We start from the raw sequence: 18596 nt of genomic DNA, 5'->3' as shown, positions 1-18596 counted from the left end.
ACAATGATGATTAACCCAGAAACAACAATGTCATAGAGACTGAGGAAGGATAAGTTTTCAAGGAGAGTGCTGCAAACAGATCCAAATTCTACAGAAAGTATAATAAATACACGGTGAAAACTGCCCGTTGTTCTTTGACTTAATAACAGGCAGTTCATCAATGACCTTGCAAACTACAACTTCTGGGTGGTAGTTGAGGTTTGATTTAATTAAATCTAATAAGATCTAGTCATAGGCTTGAAACTGAGCCTTATGAATTCTATCTTGGACGGTAGCAGGCTAGAATAGGAGGAGTGTAACTACGGACCTAGAGCATATGCTAAAAACAGGTATCATGGAGGAAAAAGAAGAGATTTGTTGGGAGAGAGAATGAAATATCAGGATAAAGCAGGTAAGGAAGTATTGAGTAATATTTTGAAAAAGAAGAGAGATATAGAAGATCTAGAAAGTGGAAAATAACTGATAAAACGAAAATACATTGAAGGAGCCAAAGGAACCATGACATCTGAATTATCTGAGAAACTTGTAGTGCTGAAATTTATACCATATGGGATTGGTCATACATTGTGTCTTCTCTCAAGGATTTATCACTTTTGAAAAATACATTCCATTCCTTTTCAGTCTTTGTACTGTCTCATTGGTGTCTCCAAACAAGGTCTATCCTGAGAGAGATTTTTTTGTGCAGAGAATAGCACTGATTCTCTCTCTCTCTCTCTCTCTCTCTCTCTCACACTTACTCACTTTCTCTGTCTCTCTGTGTGTGCTAAAAATGTGTGCGGTTATATGAAAATAATTTAAATTGTGAAGGTTAGAATGAGGTGCTGCATTTTATAGCATAACCTTTAAAAATAATAATTATTTGAAGTCTGTTTCCAGAGTTATAATGGTTTGAGCCACACTGTTTTCTAAATACTCAAATTTGGTATGCAGCTTTATGACAGGAAGTTGGCTTTCAGAGCAGGAATGTATGTAAACAAAGAAATGTGGCTCACAGGAAGGTTTAGCTAAATCAAATCCCGAAGGCTGCCTCCATTCTGAGCTTCTTTCTGTATCTTGATTATTTGCAGATGCTTTACATGAAGTTAGAGATGAAACCCAATAGTTAACCTCCCTAAAACTCCCAAGGCAATTCACAGTTAGCCCTGAGTGTTGACCAGCTAAACTAAACAATGAGAAGGAAGTAGGAAATTTAATGCCATCCTGCTTCAAGATGCATAAAGTACTTTTTTCTCTCTCAGGAATCAAACCTCAAGACTAAACTTTTCAAAAACAGACTAAAAAAAATCAACTAATACAACTGCCTGGAATCATCACTATAAACATGAAGAGTTGAAAACTATTTGTTCCTTAGACATTATTACAAAATCACATGCCTGCTGAGCTTCAAGTCCTATTGTCTTGCGCGAAGTGCACAGTTCTGCCTTTCTCGGCTGTAAAAATGCTAAGATACCAGGAGTTATAAATTGTCTTATATAATAAGTCATGGAAACTTTACAGGACAAAGTAGATAAAAAAGAAGAGAAAGATTTTTTGTCAGCTTGAAAACTCTGTCTTTATGAATGAAAACAAAACGTTACCTAATTTCTTCAGTGCTACCCAGTACAAAGATGTAACCCTAGTCTCTTGAAATCTAGCAGCTGCTTTATTTTTCCCAAGCTAAGTAATTGGAGGGAAGACCCAGGAAAGTAAAACTTACTGTGTTACATTTTTGGAACTCTGGTTGTAAGCATGCCTTGTGCTAATGAAACAGTAGAGAAGCAAACTGTGGGAGAGCATGCTGGGAGAGGCCCAGCAGAGGGGCCCTGGGCAGAGGCCACACTCTCACTTCCCAGGCAGTGTGGGATAGGATCCTGCGGGTGCCCACCCTAGAATTAACCCTAGGATGGATGCAATCAGGATTCAGTTTTGTTGAGACTGCTGCAGAGAGGATTTGTTACTTGAGACCATATACATCCTGGAATTCTGCTGGAATAACAGGTAAACTCTCAAGAAACTACCAATGCCCAAGGCCACTGCTCAGAGTGAGCTGCCATATCTCTACATTGAACCTGTAAACAAAATACTAGAACAGTGGGGATGGGCAGTGGGTGGGGAGAGAGAGTGGTGTGTTGCAGCTGTCAGATAAGAAAGGATCTGTGTTTTCCTTCTCCTTCTCCCCTCATCAATAACTGAGAAGCTGGTATCAAGAAAAGAAGACAGGAAGAAGTGTGAGAGTCACATCAAACCCATCCTATCTTGCAGCCATTAGAACTTCAGCTCATATTTAACTGAAGGAAAAAAGAATATATTTTAGAATATGAAATAAATTTTTTAAATGAATAGAGATAAGTAAAAACTAAGATGAGACTGAATAATTGAAAGTGAATGAACATAAGGAGATTGGGCCAAAGAATTATTAACAAATATAGTTTTTATCCACCAATAATATGAGCTTCAATATTGCATAGATGTGGACAGTTACTGAAAAAAAAAACAGTTTTGTGTTTATGACCAGTGATTTGAGATTATTAAGTAAATTCATTACATAAGACATCTCAGTTTTGGAAGCAATAGCTGAAACTCTTTATGGCATCTTATTTTTTTGTTTTCTATTTATTGACATTGAAAATATTGACTTCTTTAGTCCCAGATAGGTAATGCTTTTCTATGTCTAGATATTTCCTGAATTTTTTGGGAAAATCGATATGGATATTATCTCTTAAAATTAAATGTGCTGCATTTCTCAGTGTCAGTGTTACAGCTTTTTCACTCCTGTTGTTCTGCGAGTGGGAGGGAGCGTTGCAGCTCTTTCACTCTTACCACCAGTGAGCTCTGGGTTCTCGTCCCATGACAAAGAAGACTAAGGCATGCAGACAATGGACAGTGAGCAAGGCAGAGTTAGATTCATTAGGGAACAGAAAAGCTCTCAGCAAAGAGAGGGGACCCGAAAGAGGGTTGCAAGCTATGAAGCTGAGTCCAGGGGTTTTTATGGACTGGGAAGAGGGAGGAATGTGCTGACTGGTCTGAAGGCCATCTTGGAGAAAGCACCTCTCAGAAAGAGGTATGATAGTGAAAAGAACCAGTTGGAAGCAGAGGTAAAGGCTTGGCCCAAGACTTCGGCCTAGGACCAGTCAGGGGCTGTAATGAAGGCTTGGCTGGGACCTTGGCCCAGGACCAATCAGGGGCTGGAGTGATGATTCACCCTATGTAAATGAAGATTCTCTCAGCAGCCAATCACAGAAAGGTAGGTGTATGTAAAATAGGTGAAAAGCAGGAGACTAAGGCAGATCAAGGAGACAGAAATGTGTCTAAAACAGAAGTGGAATTTGTTCATCTGTGTTCACAGAGTAAGCGTTTCCATTCAAGGACACAGGCTCCTTATCTGGGGCTCGCAGTTTGACTTTCAGGCTATTCTTGGTTTGAAGGAGTTTTACCAAGGACCCACCCTAACTGCCTGCTTGACCAGTTTCTTCCTTCCACTGCTCTCACTAACATGTTCAGAACTCTCAAAGCCTTTGAGTTTGTTGACAGTTAAGAACTCATACTCCACTCACTCTGCCACCCATGAATTTATTTTTAGTTCCATTTGCATTTGAATAGAATAGCATGTTTACACACATTTACACAATGCACACATATTCTCTTTATTCCTCTCTCTCACATGCAGACACACAGTTTTAATTCCAGGTTTCCTCTACAGTGATGTAGTCCTTATAGTACAAGGGGGTCGACATATGTGGTATAATGTAACCTAACCACAATGAGCAGTGGCCTGGCCTGACGTTAAGTGTGCTTTTTCTATCAAGAGAAAACCCTACCATAAGAAGACTAACAGCCACTGCTTCCTTACTGAGAAGAGGGCTTTTTCTATCTAAATCAAGTTTTATAAAATTAGGTAGTTTTTCATCCCTAGGAGATATTTTTTCTTAGAAACAACTAGAATATTTAACATTGTATAATGATCAATCAAATCTGAGGAAAGTGATCACCTACTGATCACATCAGTGGCTAGAGATGTGGGCCAACAAAGCTTAGCTTCAAATCTTTGTTTTGGTTTAGATGACAAAAATGTCAAAACAGCATTTGTTATTTTAATTCTTTTGCTAGAAGAAAATAATATTTCATTTCTAGATGCTTTAAGTTTACTAAGCCAATAATTATCTAAAAAATGTATTTTAGTTTTTTCATGTGATGGATAGATTTTTATTTTTATTTTTGGTAACATATAAAGATTTTTTTTAATTTAACTTGAGCATTTGTAGGTGAGTTCTTATAAGTAAGAGTGTCATAATCATGTAGACTTTTATTGTGAGTATTTCCATCTCCACTAGTAAAACCTATGGAGAACAGGTGAATTGCTAAGGTTGGAAAATAGTAAGATTGTACATAGAGTGTAATGGGGGGAAAAGGCAAATTATTCTAAGTGAATATTTATATTCAGATAAAAAAGAGCTAATAAAACTGAACATGACCATGTAATTAACTCCCACAATACCTTGTGCTGTTAAAACTAAGGCCTAGGGAGAAGTTTTTCTTGGGGTCACCCACTGAAATAGAAAACAAATTCTCCTCCTTCCATGCCCCATGTTTTGCTTTTTTGGTTTTCTTTTTCCCTGGCTTAAACAGCAAATCATCCATTGGACCTGGCATTTTAAAAGTCTGCTGGATTTGTGTATTTAGTGAAGAGTAGGAGGTTTTCTGAGAAGGAAAAATAGCTTCATGAAACCATGGACATGGCTGTGGAGAAGGCGTTGGTAAGTCAGGGTTCATACTGGGAAAAACAAGTAAAGAAACACGCTGTAAATTCTAAGCGTCCTTGCGTAAATATCACTTGGGGGCAAAGTGGACTCACTGCAAATTCTTGAAAAACATTTTTCTTTGGAATCAGAAATTTGGCAGCAGGATTTTTGAGTCTTGGAACTGAAGCATCATTGAATAGTGAGGACTGGAAATGCTATTTGAGTCATCAGCATAGAGGAAATATTTAAAGCTATCAAAATGTATGAACACTCTGGGAAAGTGAACTTAAAGGGTCATGGGTAAATACATGGCCATAGAGAATCTTAGACATATGGGATAGTAGGAGGGAGAGAAGAAATCAAAAGGGATAGAGTAGGAAGAAAACACAAAAACTGAAAAGGGACTCAGGTTTGTGCAGTGTCAGAATAACAAATGAAGAGATTATTTCAAGGAGGCATCTATTAGGTTGAAATGGTGGAGAATTAAAATAGACTCTTGGATTTTGTGAGAAAAAAAAAAAAAAAAAAATTTGTGAGCTTCCAGACTCAGTATTTTCAATAAACTACAGCTTTTCAAATGTTTCAAAGAGGAAAAGTGAGTTAAAGTATTTTTTATTCTATCTCTTATTTATTCAACAAATATTTGTTGAACAGCTAGTCTATGCTAGGCATATTCTATTGATGTTTTTCATGTTATATATGACCAACCCCTTGGAAAATCTCCCTCATCCTTAAGTTTTCCTGCATGCTTATGTCTAACATGTATATAAACCCTCCCTTCCATGCTATTCAATGATGCTGTGATCTGTTTGGATCATTCAGTGCAAGAAACCCTCAAACAAAATGATCTTAGGTGATTTATATTTTTGGAATGTATTTTGGCCCCAGTTGGGAAAACAATACTTAAGTATCTTTATTAAATTCCTGTTAAATTAGTTGGAAGAACAATTATTCTGGCTCGTGAGAAAGTTTTCATTTTTCTTTGTACAGTTAGAGCAAGAATTTTAGAATAAGGACTTTGCTGTATGTCTTTTATAATCTCCTTTTATGGTTTGGTAAAATATGACAGGCTAGCAGCACAAGAAGTAAAGCTCAATTTGCATGAATATTCCTTTAACCCCTGAAACAAATACCTTTATGCAATGGATGCTTCTTAACCTCCAGGTCAGTGTTCTCAAGAGACACTAAAATTCTTTTGAAAAGGAATAAATAAGAAGGCACAGTGTGTGATCATAAGGAAGGGGTAATTTAAAATACAACCAAGATCATTTTACTCACTTCGTCTTTTGATACAGGCTCTTAAGAGACTTAGGCTGGGCTTCTATGCCAAAGAATGTTCAATTTATTTACTCATTTCACAACTATTTATTGAGACCCTACTAGATGCTAGGTAATGGGGCTAAAGAAGTGACTTGGAGACACAAGCTTATTTTTTAACTGCCCTCATTTTCTTTTCTGTTTTTTTTGAGATAGAGTTTTGCTCTTGTTGACTAGGCTGGAGTGCAATGGGGCGATCTCAGCTCACTGCAACCTCCGTCTCCCGGGTTCAAGTGATTCTCCTGACTCAGCCTCCCGAGTAGCTGGGATTACAGGCACACGCCACCCATGCCTGGCTAATTTTGTATTTTAGTAGAGACAGGGTTTCTCCATTTTGGTCATTCTGGTCCCCAACTCCCGACTTCAGTTGATCTGCCCACCTCAGCCTCCCAAAGTGCTGGGATTACAGGCGTGAGCCACCGCACCCGGCCAACTGCCCTCGTTTTCTAATGTGTAGAGTTATACAACAAATAACTAGTTTGGGGTATTTAGAACTACTAGTAAGAAAAATAAAGAAAGATAAGGAGATAAAAGTAAAGTGTGTAAAGTGTATATGGGGCTAGGTGATGATTTATTACATATACAGTGTGATTAGCAAAAGAATCTCTGAAGCAGTAATAGCAGAGCCTGGACTTGAATGAGCAGAGCAAATGAGCAATGAAAAAATAATCTGCAGAAAAAAGTTCAATAGAGAATAAACAGCCCAGCCTGGCCAACATGGTGACTCTCCATCTCTACTAAAAATACAAAAATTTTCCAGGAATGGTTGTACATGTCTTCCAGCTACTTGGGAGGCTGAGGCAGGAGAATTGCTTGAACTTGGGAGGCAGAGGTTTCAGTGAGCAGGGATTGCACCACTGCACTCCAGCCTGGGTGACAGAATGAGACCCTGTCTCTAAAAAAAAGTAAAAGAAAAGAAAAGAAACAGCAAGATAATGCCCTCCAGAGGGGATGAACTATGGGCACATTGGAGAAACAAGAGACAGTGTTGGGAGGGAGTGATAGAAATCAAGCTCAAGAAGTATTAAAGTCTAAATCATTAGGGCTTGGTCATTAATTGGGATTTTATTCTAAGGGTGATGAGAGTCCACTAGAAGGTTTTGAATAAGGAAGTGATGCTATCTGATTGTATTTTTAAAATATCAGAGAGCTACTTCACGTAAAGAGAAGTGGAACAACAGTTAAAGGAGAGGAATCAGTTAAGAGGCTGTTACAGCTGCATAGGAGACAGTAAATTGGAATAAGGTGGTAGCTATCAAGGGCCTAAGTGGTTCCAATCTAGATGGCCATTATAATCAGTAGTAAATTGAGAGCACAAGCCTATGTTGGGAGGGGCATAGATTTTATTACAAATAATAGCAGAGTAGTTTTACTTCAGTGTGGTGGTGATTGGGCCAAAGCAGAAAAAGAACTGTAATCATGTGGACACAGGTTACCCAGTAAAACAGTGGTAGGGATGTTGATAACGGGAGAGGCTATGTGGACATTTTCCAACTTAAACAATTGCTCGATTTACAATTTTTCAACTTTAAGATGGTGTGAAAGCAACATGCATTTAGTACTGTCCTCCATTTGCTGTGGGGTTAAGTCCAGATAAACCCAGGCTAAATTAAAAATATCAGAAGTTGAAAATGCACGTTGGACTTACTGTTTTTAATTTAGTACAGTTTTATCTGGATGTAGCCCTATCCTAAGTCGAGGAGTATCAGTACATGTGTAGGGCAGAAGGCATATGGGAAATCTCTGTACCTGCCACTTAATTTTTCTGTGAATCTTAAACTGCTATGAAATACGAAGTGTGGTTGTGTGTGTCTATGTTCAACACAATTTTCTTATTTTAACGCTAACCAGACACAAAACAATACGACTTCAGATGATGAAAAAACATCAGTAGAATCGAGTAATACTAACACTTCTTGATTTTACAGACCTGAAAAAGAAGGACCAATGTTGTAATGTCATCTTTTTTTATTTCATCAACTAAGGATATTTTAAAACAATAAGAAGATGTTATTTCTTCTAAAGTTCATTTATTTAATTGAATTTTTCTGCTTTTATTACAAACTTAACTCATTATTTTTATTTTTCTTGCTGTTCATTGGACAAATAAAAGCTTCATCTTCTTGTCCCCAAACACTGATTACTTGGATCCTAATACTTGGTATATTAGTTTTGAAGTCAGTTTAGTACTTGCAGAGTTACTCATAGCGTTGCTTTTACACTAATTTTTATACTAAAATTAGGGCTGACAGATAATATGTGGAACATCCAGTTAAATTTCAGACAAACAAGAGTTTAGGACTGTAAGTGCATTTCCAAATAGTCATAGAAGTACTTGTATTTTAAAAATTATCTCATCTACACAGAGTTGAAATTTAACTGGGTTCTGTATTTTTCTTGCCAAATATGGCTATCCTAAGTTATTTCAGGAAGCTCTTATGTTCATTTTCCTTTGTGGTTTACTCTGAATTGCTTGCTGTCAAAATGTATCTATACTGTCACCAAGAGTATACATGTACACTACAATTTTTAGACTCCTAAAAAATTATTATCCTCGTTCCTTAACCAATTTCAGTTTCCTTATCAGCATTTTCTATTATAAAAAGCATTGCAGTGGCCGGACACGGTGGCTCACGCCTGAAATGCCAGCACTTTGGGAGGCCAAGTGCCTCCTCACGAGGTCAGGAGATCGAGACCGTCCTGGACAACATGGTGAAATCCCGTCTCTACTAAAAATACAAAAATTAGCTGGGTGTGGTTGTGTGCGCCTGTAATCCCAGTTACTAGGGAGGCTGAGGCAGGGGAATCACTGGAACCTGGGAAGTGGAGGTTGCAGTGAGCCAAGATCATGCCACTGCACTCCAGCCTGGCAACAGAGCAAGAGTCCATCTCAAAAAAAAAAAAAGCACAGCAGTGTTTTTACTGGAGTGGAAGCATCTTAACTTCTAACCACTGTCAGTGACAGGTACAATGGTGCATATGAATTGATGCATCTGAAGCCTGTAAGTCAAGTGCTACAAGGAAAGGCATCCCTAATTCTTTTTTAAGATGAATTTATTAGTAGTTTGACCAAGCTAGCACTTGGAATAATACATTCTCTTTCTTCTTGGATTCTGTGTCCACATCATACACTTCCTGCAAGGCGTGAAATGACTAGCTGCATGTTTTTAAATAATTGGGATGGAGTGAGTTTTCTTCACTCATGTACACATGATTATTGCTCCATTGCTCTTGGTATTGCTTTGAATATTTTTCTTCCTTACATTAAATGCAAATACAATAGACAATTTGGAGATATTTTCCAGCTAGTGAATAGCACAAGACTTACAATTCTTGAAAAGAAATGCTTCTAATCCAAACACACTTCTGCATTTTTATGTCTGATTCTATTTTCTGTTTTAAAATGGCATCTTGAATGATCTTCATACAGAAGCAATCTTTATCCCTATTCAAAGCTGCTGATTTTGCAGGAAAGGAGAAGAAAGGCTATTCTTTAAATTATACCTTTCATCAACCTGAAATAAACACAAGTAGTAAGTCTGGAAGTCTTTGAAAAGAGAGACAGAGACACAGAACAAGAGAAAGAGAGAAATTTTATTTCCTTGCAGTTTGCAGATGTTAATTACCCTGAATATTGTAAAGGAAGCTGAAGCAGCTGGCATGGATTTTTGACAACCACATTTAAATTGTTTATAAGAAACTCTGTCTGGTAAACTTGGGTGTTTTAGATGCAAGGAGAGATTGCGGCATCTGAAATCTGAGAAAGAAAACCAAAAGCATTGGGTATGCTCAGAGATTATGCAGTAGGATGCAAGGTCATTTATAAACAGAATGAAAATCAGACAGGTCAAAGCTAGGCCTCTTGAACAAACATTGAATAGTTATACCATGTTCAATGTGTGCAAATCTTGAATGAAACTCATTATAGAGATCTATAGAGAGAAAGGCCAAGGCATATCATCCTAAAAAGAAAATATTAATATAAATTTCTGAAATCCTTATTCAGAAATGCATAAGAAAGCAAAGGAATTTTATGGAAGATATTCACCACCAGCAAGAAAGTCATACTTCAATCCTCCAGAATAGATTACTTCTGATTTGAAAGGTAAATATTATAGCATATCATTTAATAGTTTATGAGAAATTTGTTATACTGATATACCATCTTCACCACTTGGGGGAACTTTTGCTTTTTCAATTCAGATTTTCCTAAAGAAATAGAATACCATGAGAAGAGACAATCTACTATGACACAAGATTGTGCCATAGAGGAGACAGAACTTGGGTTTCCAGGCACCTATTTATATATGCCTTATAAGTGTATGTCGACTGTCTCTTCTATACAAGACACAAGTCATAGACGCAGAAGAGGTAATGGAGAAAGCTTACCTGACTGTGTAGAGTTCATGGTCTTGGGGCCGATCAAGTGTGGGTTTAGTATACTGACTGTGACCTTGTGCAAGTTATTCAAGTTCAACCTCAGTCTGTTCTTTAAAAAAAGGAAAAGATAGATGTATAACATTCAAGTGATTTTTTTTAATTCTCAAAATCAACTTTATTGGTATATACTTTTTATACAATATAATGTAGGTCTTTTTGTGATGACTTTTGATAAATGTGTACAGTAGCATAACTGCCAACACTAGCATGATACAGAATATTTGCATTTCCCTAAAAAGTTCCCGGTTGCCACTTTGTAGTCATTTCCTCCCTGAAGCCCAGTCCCTGGCAACCACTGATCTTCTTGTTACTGTAGTTTCATTTTTTAAGAATTCATATGGGCCGGACCCAGTGGCTCACGCTTGGAATCCCAGAACTATGGGAAGCTGAGGCGGGCGGATCACGAGATGGGGAGATCTAGACCATCCTGGCCAACATGGTGGAACCGCGTCTCTACTAAAAATACAAAAATTAGCTGGGTGTAGTGGTGTGTGCCTGTAATCCCAGCTACTTGGGAGGCTGAGGCAGAAAAATCACTTGAACCGGGAGGTGGAGGTTGCAGTGAGCCGAGATCGCACCACTGCACTCCAGCCTGGCCACAGAATGAGACTCCTTCTGTCTCAAAAAAAAAAAAAAAAAAAGAATTCATATGAAGGCAATCATATGTTGCATACACATTGGTGTCCAGCTTCCTTCACTTAGAAAGCGTTTAAAATTTACTCTTGTTGTTTTGTGTGACATAATTACTCCATCGTATGGATATTCAGGTGTTGTTTTGATAATTAAGCAGGAAAGTTTAGGTAAAGGCTAGTGAGCAGTTTATGATTGGTAGAAATTATTGAATGAGTGTTAATTATTAAATAATAAGTAATTATCTGACTTTATTTTCTCTCAAGATTTAAGGAATGATATAATATTCAAGAAGTAAAACTTTGGGCTAATGCACAGAAGCTTTATTTATAAATAAAATGAGAAATTTGAAAATTTAGACATGATCTAGAAAATTTGAGACTGCCCTTGATTAAAATAGCAGGCATGTTCTTTAGACTGATTTATCCAGTCACATGTCTTGTCTCAATTCTATTTTCACTCTGTGTGTGTAGATAATACCACATTTAGAAATATATAATCTCCAAGGGTCAGTTTTTATTGTCACAGACATGACAATTTATGCTGTTGCAACTTCAGCAATCAAAGACTCTGTTAATGGCATCATAAAACTTGGCACACCATTTTTTTTTTCTACAGGGAAGAAAATTAAGAAGCTTAATTTCAATATATAAATGGAACTCAGAAAAGTGATCACAGATAAATCTAGAAGTTATTTTCAGAAAGAGGTTTCATTTTCTATGTCTTATTCACTAAGAGCATATGTCTCTGAAATTAACTCATTTTTTATGTGTGATCAAAATCCAAAGCAATATTCATGTTATGGTTTTTATAATCCCCAAATTATATAGTTTCTTCTGTGCCTGGAACTGGGAGGCTAAATTTGGGGGGAGCTTGACCTGTAATGTTTTTCTAATTCAAAAGAGAATATACACTAGCTCAGAGTTTGGAATTTGGATTTGGATTTTGCTTCTGAGCACTGGTGATTGGGATTTGCAGTTTGCAACCTCAGCTCTCAAATAAATCCAGGATTTATTATTGAGATCAGTAGACTGCCTGCAATGCAACCCTTAGGCTTGCTACTTACACTTAATACTACTTAGCTGAAAACAGCTTAATCAGAACTTGTGGGAATGCCATTGCCTTTTGTATGTTAAAAATTTACTCCATCATCTATTGCATTTGTACCACAAATATTATTTTGCATGTTGGTTTTACTATGACTGTTATTGATTATCAGAAGTCTTAGCCCCAAATTTTGATTTTTAACCCTTCATATACTACTCCTCTTTTGGAGACAGTTGATCATTATTGTGTACCAGCCACAGCATTAGTGGAGGACCTGCATTAGATACATGTGTCCTCTTTTAATCCCATCTCCTCAGTGTATAAAAGAGAAGAGGAACATCAGTAGGCTGAGCAATGGCTGTCATTTGCATCAAGGAATAGAGCCAGCATTCATTTTTTATTTCAAGATAGGTCCATTTCATCTATTTGAAAAGCTACTATTAAAAGGCTTGTAATCCAATGCCTGCAGCTGAGAATAATATAAAATAAAATAATCTTCTTCACTCTTTCAACACCAGCATGAAGAAGTGCCAAGAACTCTTCTCTCATTATTGACATTATCATCAGGAACCAATGGGAGGGTGGTGGTGGTATTTTTTTCATATACTTCATGCTTTTATAATTTTCTTTTGGCTCAGTTTGTGGATAATGGAGGTGAGTTGTGAACAAATAGCCTCAAAAAGGCATAATTACTATGAAAAAAACTGATGGGGAGACGGAGATCTTGTCTCTATAACACAAACTTTCTCAATAATATAAAGCTCTTTGATATGGCTTGCCATGATGCATTTAATTAGCAAAATAGTTCTTCTATCATTCCATTTCCAAAGACATTTTCTATGAATATATATTGTATTTTACTATCATTGTATTTCTTTCAACCTATAATCACACTTTGTTTTCTTATTTTTGTTCCACCTCACCATAGGATACATTTCTTAGGGAAATCAGTGGTAAGTGGCTTTGAAACTTTTTTAGTTTCATTTTACTATGACTATAGTAAAAGTTACATTTTACATTACAATTGGATACACAGATATATGCTTAAATTAAATAAAGTTAAACATACAAGTTAAATGAAAGTTAAGAAATAGCTTTATAAAACAAAACTTACCCTAAGCATGAGTAATGCACTCTGTTATTTTTGTATTCTATTCTATTTGGTTTTATTAAAAACGGCTCTTAATGACCTACTATATTGATCTCACAACTCACTAATGTTCTGCAAATCATGTGTTACAAAACACTGATATAAGTGATAATGTTTGTATCATCCAACAGATTGGTAGAATCTATGTAGACTTGTAAAATTTGAATTTAGACTTTTAAAATATAGCCCCCCCCATAGTATATACTTTGTCCTTATTTTAGTAGGAAATAAAAATTGTTAATTTTGTTTTACTGTTGTCACATTGATATGTACATGTGAATACACATACAAACACACATATAATGTAAATTATATATGTATATGTGTGTTTGAATTCATTTGGATGTTTCTTATCATATGCTTGTATTATGCCTATAAAAATATAAATACAAATGAATAAATTGAGCTGGATTACTTGTAAACTTCTGTTTAGTTTTAAAACCAAGCATTCTATTACTTACCTTCAGTGAATTATAACCACGTAGTTGTTTCTCTAGTGGAGGTAGCAGAATTGCCCAGCTCAGTGGGCTTTTTTTGTGGGGTGTAGGGGTGGTGGGGGAGGATCTTACTCTATCATCCAAGCTGGAGTGCAATGGTGCGATCACAGCTCACTACAACCTCTACCCTCCTGACTCAATCACTCCTGCCATCTCAGCCTCCTGAATAGCTGAAACCACAACCACAGGCATGCACCACCATGCCTGCCTTTTTTTTTTTTTTTTTTTTATTGTATTTTTAGTAGAGACAGGGTCTTACCATGTTGCCCAGGCTGGTCTTGAACTCCTGAGCATAAGCTATTTGCTTTCTTTGGCCTCCCAAAGTGATGAAATTACAAGCGTGAGCCACCATGCCCGACCTCCACAGGCTTCTTCTTGATTGCTGTCATAAGATGCTTAGGGTTTATATTTTTTTAAATATCCAATCAGAGCTAATTTGTGGTACAGGTGATGGTTTGGAAAAGTGCAAGCTTTGCTAGAATCCAACACATAATCTCTACTTAATGTCTAGCTAGCAGCCTCTAACTACAGCCTTAACATTGTTTTTTAATTTCTTTTTTTCAGTAAAGAGATCCATGTTTTTATTTGTTAAGTCTGAAACTTCTTTATATGACAAAGTGAAATGTGAACCATTATATACAATACTTTCCTCTATTGCATTAATTTATTTTTTTATATCTTCATTTAGAAGTTTTATATATCTTTTAAGCTTTAGGTTCACAGCAAAATTAAGAAGATACAGAGATTTCCCAAATTGCTCTTGCCCTCACAAATGGTTAGCCTCCCCCATTATCAACGTTCCCCACAAGGGTAGTATGTTTGTTACCATTGGTGAACTCACACTGACACATCATAATCACCCAGAGTCCACAGTTTACTTTAGGGGACACTCTTGGTGTACATTCTATGGGTTTGGCCAAATGTATAGTGATATGTACCCATCAATATAGTATCATACATAATATTTTCATTGCTCTGAAAATCGTCTGTATTGTATCTATTCAACCCATCCCCCACTCCACCTCATCAACCACTGATCATTTTAGTGTTCCCATCATTTTGCCATTTCCAGAATGTCATTTAGTTGGAATTATATAGTATACAGTGAATGAATAAACTGTAGGACATTGTGGTTGTTTATTCATTCATTGAATGAATCATGTTTGTTTATTCATTCATTGAATGAATAAACTGTAGGACATTGTGGTTTTTTCCAACTTTTGGCAATTATAAATAAAACTGCTTCAAACATCTGTGTGCAGATTGTAGGACATTATGGTTGTTTATTCATTCATTGAATTAATTGTGGTTGTTTATTCATTCATTGAATGAATAAACTGCAGGACATTGTGGTTGTTCCCAACTTTTGGCAATTATAAATAAAACTGCTTCAAACATCCATGTGCAGATTTTTGTGTGGACATGTTTTCAATTCCTTTAGGTAAATACCAAGGAGTACAATTGCTGGATCATATAGTGAGATTATGTTTAGTTTTATAAAAAGCCACCAAACTGCCTTTCAAAGTTGCCGTTATCATTTTGCATTTCCGCCAGTAATGAATGGGAGTTCCTATTGCTCCACATCCTTGCTAGCATTTGGTGTTGTCAGTGTTTTGGATTTCAGCCATTCTAATAGTTATTTTAATTTACATTTCCCTGATGACATATAATGTGGATAATTATTTAAATGCCTATTTCCCATCTTCTTTGATGAGGTGTCTGTAAAGATCTTCGGTCCATTTCTTATTCTGGCTATTTATTTTTTTAATTGTTGAATTTTTAGAATTTTTGCAAATTTTGGATAACAGTTCTTTAACAAATATGTCTTTTGCAAATATTTCCTCCCAGTCTTTGGGTTGTTTTTTGTTGTTGTTGTTGTTGTTGTTGTTCTCTTGACATTGTTTTTTGCAGAACAGAAATTACATTACATTAATTTTTCAAGAACAAGTATTAGTTAAGAGATACTAAAATGTGGTTAACTCTTAATAATAATTCCAATACATGGATAAATTTCCCTTGTATGTTCTTTTAAATACCCTTTTCAGTAAGTGATATGTAATAGAAAGTAATGAAAAGCATCATAAACATAAAACTCCCCTGAATCTGTCACTGCAAACTCTTTTTTTTTTTTTTTTTTTTTTTTGAGACGGAGTCTCGCTCTGTCGCCCAGGCCGGACTGCGGACTGCAGTGGCGCATTCTCGGCTCACTGCAAGCTCCGCTTCCCAGGTTCACGCCCTTCTCCTGCCTCAGCCTCCCGAGTAGCTGGGACTACAGGCGCCCGCCACCGCGCCCGGCTACTTTTTTGTATTTTTAGTAGAGACGGGGTTTCACCTTGTTAGCCAGGATGGTCTCGATCTCCTGACCTCATGATCCACTCACCTCGGCCTCCCAAAGTGCTGGGATTACAGGCGTGAGCCACCGCGCCCGGCCCACTGCAAACTCTTAACATTTTGTTCACAGAAGTTTTGATGTAAAAACTTTCAGGTTTTCTCATAAATTGTACTTTAGACATGATGGATAAGATGTCTCTATTAAATTGGCTGATCCCTATTCAAGGCCTAGAATTTATTGTTTGACCAAACGCATAAACACATACAGCGATATGAACTTTGTGTTTCTGTGCTGTATTTAAGCCTGCTTAGACATCAAAGATTCTCATTATACTGTTGTGAACTGAACTACAGAGCTAAAGAATAGCCTTTTGTTGGGAGAAATGGAGCTTAAAAGAAACAGCTAAGTGGTTATGCTTTGCACTGTGAGACACCAGATTTCATATTCAGTACCATGAGATGGTCTTTGAAAAGCCTTCATTTCGTGTGCCTGTTGCAGTGAGATAGCTTGTCTCACACAGGCTAGGAAAGTCCTAGGAAGTTGTGAGACTGTTAATATACATACCCATACCTCTCAGTCCGTGAGAGTAGAGAAATTAAGTCCAATTGGAAATGTATATTGAATATTTATTCATGTAAATGACTTGAGGGTAAAGTTTTGAATCATTGTTTTTACAGCATTGGTTACATGAAAACCGTGTGACAACCTTGGAAGTCTGAAAGAGCAGGAGAGAGGCTAAGCACACACATATTGTGATTTTAAGAGTCTCAAGGTATGCTTCTCTATCTCTTTATACAACTTCAAAAAGTTCTTATATTTACTTGTAAATTCTCTATATACCACATTAAGTGATGCATTATTACTCATAAATCTGTAAACTACACCAAGATAAAGAATAACCGAAAAATAAAATAAGCTAATATGTGCTCAGCACTAAACTGCCTTGTTTGACAAAGGAATACCTAAGACTACTATGTTTATTTTAGTCATGAACAACTCACCTACAATGGTAATTCTGTCCAAAGTGAAGGGATGTGAGAAGTAAGTTGCAACAAGAATTCTAAATTGAGCTACTTTAACTTTTTAAACACATCCCAGAATTTGCTTAACTACGTTTTCCTTTCCAAAGCATTCCTGCAGATGCCAAAGGCATAAATAAGCTATAATAGAGTTGGAGATTCTATAAGTGTATCATGAAATCAGGAAGAGTGTCAATGTGGATTCAAACCTTCAAGTGTTAAAAACTTGGAATTGTATGATTTCACTTATTACTATCAAATCTAATAAAGTAACAGCTGTCATCTAATTAATTATCTAATTAATTAAAATGACATTAATTCAATTATTGTTATATTTCAGTCATGACCAGTTATGCATCAGTCAGGAAAATGGAAACCATGCTAGGTAATTTGAACAGAAAAAGGTTTAATGCAAAAATTTGGGGGCTTAGAAAAATCACTAAAAGTCTTAAGGAAGTGAAAGTTGGGGTGTGAGTGGGATGTCACAAGGTTTCAGTTTGGATGCCTCACTTTAGTCCTGAGAGTCAGAAATGTGTTGCTTCCACCCCAACTTAGAATACTGTAGGAAACAGGTGCCAGTGACAAAGCTGACCAGTAACCTCAAAACTGGGTGTTGCAGAGGAGAAGTGGAGTTCATCTGGCTGTAATAAAACTTCAAATCTGCCAAAGCCCATATGCCCAGTGATCTCTACAGCTAGATCAGATGCCATCAGGTGGCAGCACGGTTGGCATGTTTGTGCTTGGTATAAGAAATTTACCAACTAAAGCAATTACTCTTAGAAATATCCTTGAAGAAAATTCACTAAAGCATTATCTATGTCATCTATGTTTTAAGAGTAAATATTTTGGTCAATAATGTAGGAGCAAAGTATCTCATCTATGTTGTAAGAGTAAATATTTTGGTCTATAATGTATGTTATTTTAATTGGATCGAAAACTCTTAAAAGAGCTTTTTATTACTATATAACAAATTACCACAAACTTAATAGCTTAAAACACCTCATGTGGTATCTCACAGTTTTCATGAGTCAGGAGTCTGGGCACAGCTGAACTGGGTCCTCCACTCAGGATCTCACAGACTGCAATAAAGGTGTCAGCCATCATTGAGGGCTAATGTGAAGACTTGACTGGGGAAGAATCCACTTCTAAGCTTATTTGATTGTTGGTAGAATTAATTTTCTTGCCGATGTAGAACTCATGGGAGCTTGTGTCTTTTTTTTTTCACTTTAATTTTTGGAGCTTGCGTTTTTAAGACTTCTCTGAACTCAGAGAAAGCCTAAACTTGCTTTTAAATGACTCACCTGATTATACATCAGACCCAACCCAGATTAAGGTTCTTAATTACATTATTTAACCTTTACTGTATAAAGTAACAATCATGGGAATTATATCCCTTGATTCTGCCCATGATTCATATTCTTAGATTCTACTCACACTTAAGGAGAA

The 18596-nt window shown here is 36.6% G+C and overlaps 1 long non-coding RNA gene across 1 annotated transcript in view; it reads left to right on the top strand.

The window, feature by feature from the left end:
* Positions 1-18596, top strand: part of LOC101927414 (uncharacterized) — a 55601-nt gene that overhangs the window by 35598 nt on the left and 1407 nt on the right. Inside the window, exon 3 of the long non-coding RNA NR_187911.1 lies at positions 16809-16903. This is a non-coding gene — a long non-coding RNA (uncharacterized LOC101927414). The remainder of the gene's footprint in view (positions 1-16808; positions 16904-18596) is intronic.

This window comes from Homo sapiens, chromosome 4 (assembly GCF_000001405.40).
Source record: "Homo sapiens chromosome 4, GRCh38.p14 Primary Assembly".
NCBI lineage: Eukaryota > Metazoa > Chordata > Mammalia > Primates > Hominidae > Homo > Homo sapiens.
This window is presented reverse-complemented; position numbering and strand designations above follow the sequence as displayed.